Below are 16715 nucleotides of genomic sequence, written 5' to 3' on the forward strand. Positions count from 1 at the left end.
CTTCCCCAAAAGAAAGCCTCCAGCCTTGCTCCAGAAAGTTGGATCTGAGGACCAGCAGCGTAATCTTCACCTGGGTGCTTGTTAGAAATGCAGAATCTCAGGCTGCATTCCAGACCTACTGGCTCAGGATCTGATTTTAACACAGTCTGCAAGGAATTTGTGCACACCACAAGTGAGCAGCTCTAGTCTAGAAGGATCTCTTTATTTCAGGTCTACTATATTTGGTATTTAGAAGTAGTGATTAAAATGATGATGATTAGACACAATTTATTTGCATTTTGATAGCACATAATGCTTTTCATATACATTTCTCACTTGAATCTCATAGCATTCCATGAGAAAACCACTTATAGGATTTAGTTGCCTGGACAAAGTTAAGTGAATTGAACAGAGCTGACCACAGAAATGATCACCTTATTTATTTTTAAGCAATAGTTTATTGAAGTTAAACCTTCCTTTCTTCTTGTGACATCCCACGGGAAATTGCTTATATCTCTATTATAGTAATTTGCACAACCTGCCTTATGTCGAAGCTATTTATGGATGGTGATTATGATCCCATGCAGGGCCTGATATTTCCTTATGGTACCTGAAACATTACTTGGTTATAATGGGTGACCTCAAAACTCAAAATTGCTTTGAATATTCTATACCAGACGGAAGGATTTCCCTCTCCTGACAGTGCTCAAGTATGCTGCCAAGGAGGTCGTTTTTATTTTACTGATCTCAATAAGTAAGCTGTGGGAACTTCAAAGCTGCTTGGTAAGAGGCAATTAAATGTAACCAAGCCTTATCACATAGGGATATTTGTGAACATTTCATTTCCAAAAAGGCAATCCACCTCGAAAGTGCTAAAAAATAAGTTTTTGTTTCCTTTGACATGTCATTTCTTTAAGCAGTCTTCTTAACTCGCTGCTCTTCTGACCCCCTTAGTAGCAGATACAATTCATTTCTTATGCAGCCTGACAAAAAAGATGCACGGTGTATGGCACTGCATATCTTGACTTCATTATTTCCTCATAGCAAAGACTTGAAACTGTAATGTGTGAGAAGGAAAAGGTGCCAACATGACATTTACTACTGCTAATATGAATCTGATTAATTCTACAACAAGAAACATCATCTTAACTCTTTGTATTCTACAAGGAGTGCAACTATGGGAAGCAAAGGGGATAGTTTGACCGAATCACGCATATCATAGAATTCTTTGTGGGACAAAATAATAATGTAAACAATTCCTTGGCAAGAAGTGTCTGCAAATTCTCTGATACAAAGGGTACGCTTTTCCACAGAGGAAAATTCCAAGCGAGGCAGAAGTGCTTCTCATCTCTGTACTCGGTTCTGAGTTCCCCCAGTTTCAAGGGGACTTTTGCTCGCAGGTGAGAAAACAGGCCAAGGTGAGAGTTGAGGCCACCGAGAGCAATATTATTGCTTTCCAAAGAACAGTAGTGCTGGTTTTATTTTTATTTTATCGATGCCTTCAAAATGTTCTTCATTGTCCTGTGGCCTTAGGGCACGTGTTCAAAAATGATTCTACATTGCAGCAATCCTGTACTTGAAATTGCTATTAAAAAGAAAATGCCAGAAGACCACTCAGACTTTTCACTAAGGGACTGCTAGAGTAAGGAAATGCACCCCAAATCATGACCTTCCGAGTAATGTAAAACAAACAAGAGAGTAAAAACTTGAGGTAACTCAAGATTTTGTAAGAAAGCTAACTCATAAAGAAAAGAATAAAAATAAGAGTTCATTATTCACCTGTTTTCTACAAAGTACTTCTCATCATGGGAAGTTTTTTATTTCTGCCAGGTTTGGGGGGAGGTGTTTCTATTTAACTTCTCCTCCTCTCCTTCTCACAGCGTGCATATCTCGAAATATTTATACATTTAAAAATTATTTTATTATCCATCATGAACTATTGGCAGTTAATTTCTGAGCTCTTAAAATCACATAAAAAAACCCAGCCACCCACAATTTTATTTAAAGAAAAGAAACTTGCCTTTATTAATTTTCTTCATTGAAAGCTAAATATTGTAGTTCATTTTGGTTCCCCTCCTAACAGATTTGGCTAAAATGTCAAACATGAAGAAACTGTGAAAAATACCATAGAATGTGCCGAATAATGTATTACAAGAAAAATGTTTTTCATCAACACACACACACACACACACACACACACACACACACATACACACAGAAAAAAAAAACTGGCTCAGATTTAAAACATGCATTTGATCATATATCTATAATATTTTCCTTATGTTTATAGCATGTAGGTTTTGGGGAAGCCTAGCAGTTTTAAAGAACAAGACTACTTTTTTGAAGTAGGTTGAAAAATTCTTTCCAAAACGTTGCCTTTTAAAGGAAAGCAAAAAGTAGGTATTTTACGGCTTTCTAAATAGCATCACCTTAGGATATGTATATGTTTTTGCCATTTGGAGGGGGGCATGGTGTATGATATTTAAATGTTTATAACAGCGTAACAATGGTGAAAAAGCTATAGTTTCCCACACAAATAATGTACTTAGTCAAAGAAAGGGGAATTTGAATCTCAGTGAAAAGCATGTTTTAGAAAGTAAACTGTACTTGCAGTTGTTTTTGGGCTACTGGTGACCAAGTGAAGTCCTGGTGGCAGTTGCTTTGCAAATCCGAAGAATACAAATGACTCTGAATGTGGGCCTATGACACATGGGACAGGGTTTTAAATGTGAACACATGCTCCAGAGAAGCCTATGCAGGAATAAAAATTGTTCCTGTTTGGTTAGTTTGGATTCTGAAAGAAGCTTTTGTGTGTCAAGATGTAAGAGGATCCCAGGGCTGGAGCCCCTGCTCTGTGGCATGTAGGTCACTGTGTCTGTCCCAGGAACCAGGGCTGGAGCCGCCAGCACGCCTTTACGCTCTCGCCTGGCACTCGCTTTTGTAAGCCTTAATTTGCTTTTGCCAGAATGATTAAGAAAGGGACCCTTTTGTGCCCCTCTATGAAGTCTTTAATAGGGAGACCAGGAGGCTGGGAAGAGGTGTTTCTTGACTATCGATGCTCACAAAAATTAAAGAGCAGTTCTGTTTCAGTATTATAAAACTCTTCTCATTGAACACCATCCAGAAATCTGCTGGTTCAATTTCTTCGTCCCATCTGTTTCCCTCTCACTGGCTATATTTGTTAATATTTCCTCAAGCAGCAGGCTGTATTGCCCTCACTGTGCTACAGAAAAGGGCAGAGATTGATCATTTTTGCGGGACAGGGAAATGTTTATTTTGGGCAGGAAAGCAGCACATTTACTAGCTTCCTATCCAGAGGCAGAGACAAAACTTCTTCAAGAAAAAGGCAAAAAAAAACAAAAAAAAATGCAGAGCTTGTTTTGGTATCCGAGGGTGAGGACGGCTGGGGCGAGCCGGCAATGTCGGAAGAGCTATCAGCCTGCTTATCTGTCTTTCTGCTTTGGCACGTGAAAGCTCCCAGCTCAGCACGCCATGTGTCAAATTTATCATTTCGTATGTCAGCAACCATTATTCCCTCTTTTGTCACCAGTTTTGACCAAAGGATGAAAAATTGCTGTCTTACTCAGACAAGATTATTGCTGGAGGAAAAAAAAAGGGCAACTCCAGGATAGAGGAGCAGGCCAAGGTGAAACACAGGGAGACTCTCCTCAGATTAGGTCTGGGTTAAGAGAATATTGATCTGTGTGCTAAAAACTGTTGATCTCTCTGAGCAGAGGATGACAAATGGTAGCAAAAAAAAAAAAAAAAATTGAGTGTCTCCAAGGACATTTGAGCTGCTGTGAGTTTTCCATCAGTATTTGTTTGGTTTTTGGGTTTCTGCACTGGGGATTTCAACAAAAATAAGCAAATATTAAACAGAAATGAAGCAGCCACAAAAATGATACAGAGGAAAACCTAGGGGAAGAAGACCAGCCCAGAAACTGGGCAAGGTACACATATTAAATAGCAGGAGCATTAAAAATATAAAGTGCTGCTTGTCTAAGCTCATGGGTCATGTGTGGGGTGTGGGGTTTTTTGTTGTTGTTTCGTTTTGTTTTGTTTTGTTTTGTTTTTTGTTTTTGGCATGGTTAGTGCCAGAGTGTTACAAGTAGGAGAGAAGTGTTTTTGTCAAAAGTAGGTATCTTTAATTATGACAGGTTAGGCATTTAAAAAAATCATACCGCATATAAAGTATGATGCTGACGTTCATAAACCCACAAATGAGAGGAAATATAGAGGCTTGCATTCATTAAGCAAATACAGTATGACAAGGCATAAATTCAAATTGTTTGGGGTTTGAGTAATTTTTTCCCAACTGTAGAAATTGAACTCCAAGCATGGAAGAGAGCTAGAAGGTGGAAAATACCAACTATTTACTTTACATTCAAAAAGAAGACAGTGTTGTGGCTAAGGGCAGGTACCCCGAGGCCATACGCCCTGGTTTGAAGTCCATCCCGTCAGTCCCCTATATATGATCTGGGGTGAGATTTTTAACCTATGTGAGCTTTAGTGTTCTCTTCCGTGAAGGTAGGGTAACTATACTCCCCTATCTCATACTGTTGGTAGGAGGATTTGATAAATTAGCCTATGTAATACATTTACAACATATTGGCACAAAGTAAGCAAGAAATAAACACTACCATTATCTACTTCTTCACACGTTTATGAATTCCCTGCTCTCAGTTCCTTGGTGACATCACACACTGGGCCCTGTGCATGGAGCACGCTTGCCCACCTGCTTCCGTCATCCACCTGGCCAGCTCTTTCCTGCAGATCTTCCCGTTTACAGCTCAGCTTTGCAACCACAGTGGATCCTAACTCAGCCCACCTTTTCCCAAAACGATATTGGAAAACCCTCGACATTCTCTCATGGCTTGCTATTCTATTCCCCAATAATCAGTTTACTACAGTTTCTCCTATACTGGTTGGTCAATCTATTTAACAAATTACATTAGAGTTACTTAATATTCATAGCTTCTTATTAGTATCTTACCATAGACCTAGTGCTTTGTTAGACTGAAGTGACACCCTGTAAGGGGCATGTTTGCTCTGCTCTCATTGTACCTCCATCTCCTACTGGGGTACTTTGGGCCTTGGCCTGCCCAAAGAAAATGATCAATAAATATTTGTTAATTGAGTTAACCAATGAATGAATTCATGAGTGACTCTTTAGTACCCCAGGCAAGCCAGTGTCCTATTTGAGAACAGACTTCAGAGTCAGGGGACAAGATTTCTATTCTTGCTTTTCTTCTGTGGCCTTGAGAAAGTCACCACCTCCCCCAACTATCAGGCTCCTGAAAGGGCACGGAGGGTGTCGCACTGGAAGAGCTAAGATTTCAAAGCACCTTCTCAGCCTGAATGTCCCGGATTGGGTCATTCATAACATCTGTTGAAAACATGTCCACGGATTTTAAAACACCTGTCCCCGACATTTAGAAATTGTTAACATAGTTGAGAAGTATGTTTAGACACAATACTATTCAGTAGTGACTAAGTAAAGGTTGCGTTTACATATAACATGTTCACCTCTGTCACTACAGAGCCCGGCAGAACACCTAACATATGAAAATATCGATTGAAATATAATATTCAAAAATTACTTGTTGAATGAATAAAAGAACCACATTTTAGATAGGTTAATAAATTGTTATCTAAATTGGAGTAGAAGTTGTCTAAGAGTCTCTGTTAACACTGATTTTAGTAGACCTGTGTAAGCTTCTCATACTAAATGTATGCAAATTAGTTACTTTCCTTGAATTAAAACAACGTGTTTCCATTCTCTTTCACCAGGCAAAAGTTTGATCAGGTTAAGTAAACCACCACAGTTCCAAATCTTGGAAGAAGAAAAAGACACTGCTTTTTTTTCTTATTTTCACAAATCCAGTCTTGACTATTTGTTTCTTTGAAATAAAAACATAATTAAATACCTTGACACCAAAAGGTAATCAAAACCCTATACACGTAGTTTTTGAGCAAGTTCTGTCTTATTCTATAGTATGTATTAGTCATAGACTATTCTGCTTGAGATGTTTTAAAGTTTTAGTTTATTTAAAACATAGTGTTTTCAATCCTAACTAAAAATTTAGCGCACACCATAAAATGAAACCTTCACAGAAATGAATGCTCATATTTCATTGTACTGCATACTTCTGAATTAATTGCCTCCAAAGCATAAATGTTCATATTAATTAATGGTGTAATTGAAAGAGTACAAGGTTTACAGTTAGGAAGACCCATATTCCAGCCCCAGTGGTGTGACTTCTGTTTCTGTAGTCTTTGCCTGTGTGATTGCTGGCAACTTAGTCTCTCTGAGTTTAACTCATCTTTAAAACTCAAAATCCCAACATAACGGATCAAGAATTAAATTAAGTAATATATATTAAGTGCCTACCTACATAGTTAGCATGGAATAAAAGATACATTAACAGATGGCTATATACAGTTAACTGTGTTTCCATTTCAGTATTTATTGATATCTTATAATGCAATGCAGGCATGCTAAACAATGTGGAGATTCAAGATTGTTTTAACCAAGAGCACACTTTCATCATATTTACTGCAAAAGCTAAACGAGTGTCTATAATAAGATTTCTTTCTCTTCCTTAAGAAGAAATCCAAGGTAATGCAAATGAAAGTATAAAATCCCACAAATGCATAAATATGGAATTTGCACAGTTGTTTTGTACTAATAAGGAATGTTTGCTCTTAATCTACTTGAAAATTTGGTGTCTAACACATTGTCAGGATACCATGGGAGTTATTAATAATAGCTCCACATATTATAATTATTAGCTCTAAAGTTAAATCCTAAAAAATTGCCTAGTCCCATATGGACCTAAAATTGTTATTTAGTATATGAGGAATTAATTGGCTGTAAGTTAGAAACCTGTCCTCTGCCATTGATCCTAAGTGTCTTCCTTCACTTTATTATGGGACATACTCATATGTTCTGATTATTCTTTAAAAATCTCTGCTCTCTCTCCCTCCCTTCCTCCCTCCCTTCCTTTCTTCCTTTATATATCCCTCTCTCCCTCCCTTTCTCTCTCTCTCCTCTCTCCTTTCTCCTCTTTCCTTCCTTCTCTCCCTCTCCCTCCTCTCCCTCTTTTTTCCTCTCTCTCCATTCTCTTCCCTCTCCTCTTTCTCCCTCTCTCTCCTCCATCTCCTCTTCACTCTGAATCTCTCTCACTCTTTCTTCCACTCTTTTTGTTTGTTTGTTTTTTTTTTTGTTTGAGACGGATTCTCCCTCTGTCGCTAGGCTGGAGTGCAGTGGTGCAATCTCAGCTCACTGCAACCTCTGCCCCCCGGGGCCCAAGCGAATCTCCTGCCTCAGCCTCCCGAGCAGCTGGGACCACAGGCGTGCACCACCGTGCCCAGCTAATTTCTGCATTTTTAGTAGACACAGGGTTTCACCATGTTGGCCAGGATGGTCTCCATCTCTTGACCTGGTGATCTGCCGACCTCAGCCTCCCAAAGTGCTGGGACTACAGGTGTGAGCCACCATGCCCAGCCTCTTCCACTGTTTTCTTCCTTCATTTCTTCTGACATTCCTGGAACATATTCTGATCATATTCCAAAAAGATACTAGAAAATATTCCAGCAGGAAATAAAAGATGCAGTCAAATTAGGATAATTTGGGAGTTTAATAAAGAGACTGCTTACCCAAGTAAGGGTGAGGTCAAAGGAAACTACAGGAGCCAGGGCAGTGCCCTGGGCTAGCAACAGGAGAGTTTCTTACCCCCAGACCCAAACAGGCTAACATGAAGTGGGGTGTAGGGGAAGGTATGGAGAGGTGGGAGGAGCTTCTGGAGCCCGAGAAGCCATGTGGAGACACTGCCTGGTGTGAGCTTAGGTCTTCAGCAAGGATCCAGTAAGCCCAGGGGAAAGAGTGGAGGAATAAATAGCCCGGGCTGACTCTTGGTGCTCCCTCCCCTCTCTGTGGGAGCACCTGATGGTCAGGGCCTCCCCATCAGCCCACACAGACCAGTCTCCTGGACACAGAGCAGGTGAGAAAGAGTGGACAGTGAACCCAGAGGGGTGAGTGGAATCCATCCAGCCTGGGGGTTTAACCACATACACAATATCATGCTATAACTTAAATGTAAAGTAAGTATGAAAAGTGAGTCAGTATTCTCAGAAATAAAGTCAGTATTCTCAGGAAACATACAACATGGGCCTGAAACAACTTGTAGTGCCAGAAAGGAAGGAAGTACTCAAAACAAACAAACAAACAAAATGATGGGCTATGGAACACAGGAGCCAACTGAAAAAAACTTTCAATGACCGAAGCTGGAACAACCTGAGCAACAAAATAAAGGAATATTGATTAAACCCCAGAGTATAAATATGCACCCATGAGTCCAGGATGATTTAAATAAATGATCAAATAAGTAAATAAATAAGGGGGAAAAGACAAATCTCCCCGTAGAAGAATCGCAAATAATGTATGTAGATCCTCCACTTTCAAGAACTTGGAGCATAACTCTCTACCCATTAAGTGTGAGCTGTGACAGGGTGACTCCCTTGCAAAGAATACAGTATGGAAAGGTGCAGTTGGGAGCAGGAGTGGAGAGTAACTTTACAAAGACTACTTCTGCCAGGTGATCAAGGTGTGCATCAACAGTGATTAGTGGTGTTGATAGTTGATAGGATATGATGAAAATGTCACATTACATCTGTGGTCCTCCTCCCAGAAACCCATAACTCCAACTGAATCGTAAGAAAACATTAGACAATCCCAACTGAGGGACAGTCTGCAAGGTACAGTGCTCTTAAAACTGCCAAAGTCATCAAAAACAAGGAAAGTCTCAGAACCTGTCATAGCTGAGGGAAGCCTAGAAAGACACAATGACTTGATGTAATGTGGAATCCTAGGTGGGATTCTGGGACCAAACAACAGACATTAGGTAAGAACTCAGAAAATAAAAATCAAGTATGGACTGTGCTTGATACTGATGCATCCAGATGTGCTCATCAAATATAACAAATGTACCATCCTAATCTAAGATGTTAATAAGAGGGGAATCTGAGTGTAGGGCATATGAGAACTCTCTGTGCTATCCTCACATATCTCTTTTTATGAGAATCTAAAACTGGCCTAAAAAATTCAGTTAAAAAAATGAGTTGCCACAATAGATACAGGCAAGTGCAACAGAGAAATGTGAGAGGGAGGTTGATTCCTGCAAATGGTGCCGTAATGAAGCTGGCAGCCCTTGCTATAGTGAGGCAGTTCATTCACAGTTTTGGAAATTATAGTCCCTCCGTTCCTAGTCACAAATGCTATCACTCTGGTTGCTCTACAAATAATCACAACTTTGAGTTCTACAGTGAGAATTTGGAGGCATTGGCTAAAAATCTTATCCTCACAAACACATTTGAACTGCATGGACAGCTCCTCCTCCACCCACATACATGACACCATGTAGCCACAACCTCGCACTGGGCTGACACAGAAACACCACACTCTGTAGAAAGGAGAAGCCATAGAGGGTCTTCTGCCACAATGAACCCTACAATTCTGATTAAATTCTCAACTTCTTTTCATCTCAATTTTCACCTGTAAAATGATAAAATAGAACAAGATTACTTTCTGCCCTTTCTACCTCTGAAATTCTTTTCCCAGAAGTACCTGAATGATTAATTTGATGGAATAAATGATTGAATAAGTAAATAAATAAAGACGGAAAGAAAAATCTCCCTTGTAGAAGAACCCCCAAAAATGTATGTAGATCCTCCACTCTCAAGAGGGTGTAATCCTCGACCCTTTAAGTGCAGGCTGTGACAGGGTGCCTCCTTTTCAAAGAATATAGTATGGAAAGGTGGGGGCGGGAAAGAAGTTCTTTGGCAAAGATCATTTTCAGCAATTAAGAAACAAAAATATGTCTATCTGACACCCCACTGCTTTAGGACTAGCAGTGTATAATGGCTCCATGAGGACAGCTCCATCTGTGTTCTCCTCCACGATTCCCAGTGCATACATTCTGAAAGCATACTTGTTAGATGTTTGCATTTGCATGTATAGCCAGAAAATTCAACCAAACAAGTGCCCAACATTTGTATACATTTATTTTACATCATGCTTCCAAACATCACAGCTTCAGATTTTCCTCAACCAGCTAGTTATAGGGAATAACAAGAAAATATTTAATTTTTGCTTTTAGCTCATATCCAAATGTCTTATAAGTATTTAAAAGAGAGACCATATCTGTTTTTTTCTCTCTATCAAAACTAACCTTCGAAATTCTTCACTATACGTTAATGACCTTGAGTCTAAAACAAGTGATCATACATAAATTCCATCAGGTCTCTTTGTCTCAGCTTTCCTCATCTGTAAAGTGAGGGAACTGGACTGGATTTGTAGAAATAATTAAAAGGTCACTAAACCAACCACCTCTTGGTCCTTGAATCTCCTGTGCAAGCTTCCTATTAAGGCGTGCCCCGTTTCTAACATTCAAAGATGTAATTATGATTGAATTATTATATTTTGTGGATTAAATGATCACATGTGTCTAGATACATAAAAATGAAGCTATAGTTATGATTTTAAAAACTCATCTATATTTTTTCAACATAGGCGATTTCATTATAGACTCCTATGTTTCATAATTTTAATACCACAAAAATTTTACCTCAGTTATGACACTGAAATTAAAGCAGGGCTTTTAAAAGATACTTCCAAAAGTTAGAATTTATGGACTCCTTTGAGAATTTGATGAAAGCTATGGGACATCTTTCCAGAAATAGTATACTTACATGTAATACACATTAATACACACACACACACACACTAAGCTCACAGGCATATCTCCCTCAGGCCCATCTCTATTTCCATAGTGCCTATGTATCTCAATTTAAGAAATACTGATCTAGAACAATACTTGTTGAATTAGTGAAAGGATTAGAATGTCATTTTTTTGGGCCGGGCGCGGTGGTGGCTCACACCTGTAATCCCAGCAGTTTCGGAGGCCGAGGAGGGTGGATCACGAGGTCAGGAGATGGAGATCATCCTGGCTAACATAGTGAAACCCCGTCTCTACTAAAAATACAAAAAAATTAGCCGGGCATGGTGGCACACGCCTGTAGTACCAGCTACTCGGGAGGCTGAGGCAGGAGAATGGTGTGAACATGGGAGAGGGAGCTTGCAGTGAGCCAAGATCATGCCACTGCACTCCAGCTTGGGTGACAGAGAGGGACTCTGTCTCAATTAAAAGAAAAAAAAAAAGGTCTTTTTTTTTTCAAATTTATTCACAAGTCTCTTACAGGACTCAGCCTAAGTGCTAATTATATACAAGTTTATTCACTAGATACTGAAAACACATTATATGGAAAGAGATGCAGAACAATTCATATAATACAAATAAGACATTTAAACAATTTATAAATACCCTATTTATCTATCTATCTATCTATCTATCTATCTATTTATCTGCTTTAAAGTATATAAAATTTGCCAAAAGAAATACCACCAAACTCATAATAGCTGTGGCCCTTATGAGAAATATAATAATGACTGAAGTACATAATCCTTTCTTTTTGTACAAATGGACAGCAGAACTCTGATACATTGTTAACAGTGATTAATCCAGAAAGGTTGGCCTATGGGTAGAGTTTGATCATTCTTTGTACTTTTGTGAGTCGTAGTTTAACTCTCCCACATAGCACCCCACGCTCAGTGTAGCACGGCTGCCTATGACCATTCTCAGGACCAATTTTCTGCTTTTGCCACAGAAGAATGTTTGAGAGTTGAGAACAGAGGACTGCGGAGTAGTTGTATGGGGCAGGAGATGGCTAATGTAAGTGGTCAGCAGTGTGGGAAAAGGAGGGTGCGGGCAGAGGACAACCTATATGAAGCTTCTAAGAAAAGAGTTTCTGGGGCCGGACGCGGTGGCTCACGCCTGTAATCCCAGCACTTTGGGAGGCCAAGGCGGGTGGATCACGAGGTCAGGAGTTCAAGATCAGCCTGGCCAACATGGCCGTCTCTACTAAAAATATAAAAAAAAAAAATTAGCCAGGCATTATGGCATGTGCCTGTAATCCCAGCTACTGGAGAGGCTGAGGCAGGAGAATCGCTTGAGCCCAGGAGGCGGAGGTTGCAGTAAGCCGAGATCGCGCCACTGCACTCCAGCCTGGGTGACAGAGGAAGGCTCCGTCTCAAAAAAAAAAAAAAGAAAAGAGTTTCTGCGCCACACTTTCATGGCAATCCAAGATAACTCATTTGTACACCAACACTTTATGTCACCTGCAGTCCCAACTCTGGCCCTAAACTGCCAGTTGTGTTTGCCATGTCCCTGATATAAGGCCATACTGTCTAGACCTTAATATAAGGAGTATTTAGACACATCCTCTCAAAGTAATTGATTGACTAAATAAAAAATTAACTCTTTAAACTACAGTGTTTAGTGTATTTTCACGTTTTATAAACTCACATTCTAAATTACATTAAACTTAAAAGTACTGAAAATTAAATTTCTGATTGAAATAAAATTCTGAATAAATTTTAGGGAAAGAACTAATATAAACCATCCAAATTCTTCTAAGATCATCAGTGGAATAATCTTTTTTTCTCACATGCTCTTTGCACTAGAATCAGTTCTGAACAAATATTTTTGTAACAAAGAAGTGAGTAAATTTAAAACATGGATGATTGTTATATAACATACTTTTTAATCTGCTTTTTTCGTTGATTACAAATTTAAATGTCCAATTGTGTGAGATTAATTTCATTAAAAATGTATATAGAGTACCTACCATGTGGCAATTACTGGACTAGTTGCTAGAATAAAATTAGCCAACATGAAGTAATGTATAAAATGATTTTTTCCAGAAGGCTATCATTAAACATAAAAGTACTTTTTTCTTCTACCATTGTATCAGATCTGATTTAAAATATGCTGTTTTAAGATGAATTATAAACTGTCAGAATTCATGGTTATGAAAAGGGATTTCCAGATATATCTAATGACTTGGAATTTGTGTTTAATCTAACAAACCACACTGACTATTGAATTTGTGTGTCTGCGAATATAAAGATTTATTGTCCCTGGAGGTAATTATTGACCTCAACATCTTATCAGTCAATATTTACCTCTTAGGCCAATAAATCTTGATATAACCTCATGAAAGTCAATATCTGTTTAATAGTATACATGGAAATCTGTAATAGTTTGATTACAGGCTTCAATGTCACACTGCCTAGTGCACCCCTTCACATCTAAGGGACATTGAATCATTCCTTCTTTTCAACGCAGACAAAAACACCTTTGGTTGCTATGATTCACTCATTCTTGATCTAACACTTGATTGGAAATTTTTATATCATTCCTTAATTCTTTTTGCATACAAGTCTTGCTTCTTCAATCAACTTGTAAGCCCCCATGAAGCCTGAGACAAATTTAATGCTTTTGTGGTTGTATTATTTGCTCCTAGCACACCTCTTCATCATTATAAATAAAACAGCTTCGTGGATGGACAAGTTTTCTAGCCCATGGCCCCCAGAGGTTACTAAGTAAGCCATTGCCCTTCCAGCCTGCACAACTAAAAATATCTCCAGGACTCAAGAAGGATTCAGTACCACAAGATGTCAAGACAGCAGAAATGAGTACTTAGTAAGGATCATGATTGTTTCTTATTCTGAGAAGTCAGAAAGTTGGGGCCCATAGTGGGGTATAGAGTTCAAGCGTCATGCTGTAGCCTTTGATAATATTTAGCTAGTTTACAAAACGCACTAGTTGGTTCATGCCCAATAAATATGTGTTGACGAGCCCCTCACAAGGGGCAAATATCGAAATCATTTTTGCTGTTTCATGTGCCCTTTATGCAACATTAAAAACAGTATAAAAACAATTAGGCTACTTCAAAGAGTCCTTTATACTGGTCAAGCAAAACCATAGGCCAACAATTAGATTAGATCAAAAGGACTACATATTCAATGGCTGCAAATATCCTCAGCAAGGTTTCCTTCATGATCTCAGGGTTTTAACAGCACCATTGGGCTTCTGATGGCCCGATATGAGAAGGTTCACCAGGTTTCAGGGTCTGGGCTTGATTTCCTTGTTAACAGCCATTTGCCTTCGAAAACATGTCTACACTGCTAATGGTTTGGAAACTAAATGCATCTTCAGCCTGTGGTGTCTTTCATATTGCAACAACATGCAATCAGGCCTACTAGAGCAGCAAACATTGAGGAAAACTCACATAGATATTATTGATAGCAGACCTGAGTTCCTCATTTCCCTTTCATGCAAGCACAGCTCCTGAGATCTAGCAGGGCTGATGTCATCACTGAGGAAATTTCTTGACCCTCGTGCTGTACAACTTTTATGATGCATGATTAGGAAAAAGCAGTCTCTCTCTCCTGATAGGATCTCTCTCTCCTGATAGGATCTGGGACTGGGAACACAAGCAATATGACGTCACAAAACCTAGGATTCTGCTTCATCCTGCCAGCTCAGCAGCTGTGGTTAGCAGTAGCATTACCTCCTCTGGCCATGGCTGGTAGTATTTCCCAAGAGGGAAATACTGAGGTCCAAACATTGCAGTGAACAAAAGAACTGATTGCCGTAAGCATTGGAATGCAGCCAGTTTGCATAGAGATTTGCAAGAAGCCAACTGTTTTCTGAGATCAGTCTTGGATAAGATAACTTTTACATCTCTGTCTATAACACAAACCCAAAGGATGTCCACATTGTCTGCAACTCGTACCATTTGGACTTAAAAGATTATGAGACTACCTACAGACACAGTCACAGAACACATTAAAATATGATTAGACATGGCTGGGTGACTGCAACTAGCACATAGAAAATGATTATTTGTAAGAACAAAACTGGGATACACACATTATCTAGTGCATAGTGTCATATGGCAAATATCTTTAGCCTTTTTGGAAGCATTGTTTCCAAATCTTTTCCAGTAACTTAAGAACCTGTTTCATCCTGAAGAAAAGAAAAACCACACACAATTCACTCAGCATTCAGCCAGGAGATAGTCGTGTCTACAGGTTGGTGTCTGCTCAGCCTTTTTCAAAGGACAGTCAAGATATTCCAGCTGCTTGAGGAAGTCAGGATGTGGGGAAAAAACTCTGCAACCGTGTGGATCCAGATTATCCCCTACTCCTGAATCTGGAATACCAAGAGACATGAGAAGAGGGAGAAAACGCACCCTGCAGCCATAGGTATATTCAGGACTTGTATAATTTTAGATAAGTGATCCATCTAGTACACCAGTTTGGGAGAAACACTGAGTTGTCCTTGGTTTGACTGTTCCAGAGTTACATTTATCTCTCATTATGTGAGCCATAAGGGCCATTGCATCGCACATGGGACAGTCCAGGGCTATACTGACTTAGCAGGGAAGAGTTCATTGTCTGACTGAGTTATGTATTAATATCTTAATTCTTGACTATGATCAGTGCTATTATTTGAATGTGTTTCTCCCACCCAAAATTTAATGTGTTGGAAACTTAATCTTCAAATTTTTATGTTGATGGTATTTGGAAGTGGGGTCTTTGGGAAGGAACTAGGATTACATAATGTCATCAGGGTGGGGCTTCCATGATGGGACTGGTGGCTTAATAAGAAGAGGAAGAGAAGCCTGAGCTGACACGCTCCTGCCTTCTCACCCTGAGAAAGCCTTCTGCCATCTATGACACAGTACAAAGCACCTTGCCAGATGTTGGTGCCATGCTCCTGGACTTCCCAGACTCCAGAAATGAACTAAATAAATCTCTACTCTTTATAAATTGCCCCATATATGGTATTCATTTATGGCAACAGAAAACAGACTAAGACAATAGCAACATCTGTATTTGGATATTTAATAACTCTGCCTTGATTGTGAGGTCTGCCTTAAGGATTCTAGTGTTTCCAGAAGGTTGTCAGCTAACAACCACCGGGTGCCATCCCTTTGGATGATGTTGTATTATCTGAAAATCACAGGGACAGAGGGTCATTCTGGGGTTCCTTTCTTCTCTGCCATCCTGATTGTTGCATTCTCCCTAACATCCCCTCAATCTATACACTAACTGATCTCATTGTATCCACCATATCACAAAGGGGGCCACTCATATATCTCCTGTTTTTTGTTTTTTTGTTTTGTTTTTTTTGTTTGTTTGTTTTTTGCTTAATGTTACTAGGCATACTGTCTTAGCCTTCCCTTGACTGGAGTCTTATCTCTCTATAATGACTACCTTCAAGATCTTTAACATCTACTAAAACATTCTGCTTGGTGTTCAGGATTTCATAAGGTTTCTTCTTAAGGGCAGTATGAGTCTACCTGTGCCCACAACTCTGTCTCACAATTGCCCACCCCCTCCAAGATACGTCTTTGATCTTTAGCCCCTTGATTTTCTTTCAAATGACCATGATAAGCTGGCTCACAGCACTAACTACCACACAATCTGAATAGGTGGCTGGATGGTGCCATTTGAGAACTCCTAGGGTAGTGTGCTCTGGGCTAAAGTCTCAGAGTAGGATCAGTAGCAGCTGGACAGGTCACCAGAGCCATCCATCTTAGTGCAGCCACCAGACATCTGTCAAGGACAGACTTTGGACTGTGTGGCATTTAAGCTCCTCCCATGGCATGATTGTGGGATTGGGCTCAAACCTGGTGGTTGACCAGAATTGATTGCTTCAAGACCTAAACCATAGCCAGGTTCCATGGAGATCTACAGGAGGCCAAGGCCTGACTGCAAGGGATAATTTTTGAACACTTCTCATATTGGTTCTGAAAAATTGCTGGCA

General features: G+C 39.5%; 1 long non-coding RNA gene across 1 annotated transcript in view; it reads right to left on the reverse strand.

Annotated features, from left to right (window-relative positions):
- LOC124908051 (uncharacterized) overlaps positions 1-14313 on the reverse strand; it is a 35249-nt gene extending 20936 nt beyond the window's left edge. Inside the window, exon 1 of the long non-coding RNA XR_007088651.1 lies at positions 14170-14313. This is a non-coding gene — a long non-coding RNA (uncharacterized LOC124908051). The remainder of the gene's footprint in view (positions 1-14169) is intronic.
- Between the last annotated feature and the right edge of the window lie 2402 nt (positions 14314-16715).

Source organism: Homo sapiens, chromosome 2, assembly GCF_000001405.40.
Source record: "Homo sapiens chromosome 2, GRCh38.p14 Primary Assembly".
NCBI classification, from domain to species: Eukaryota; Metazoa; Chordata; class Mammalia; order Primates; family Hominidae; genus Homo; species Homo sapiens.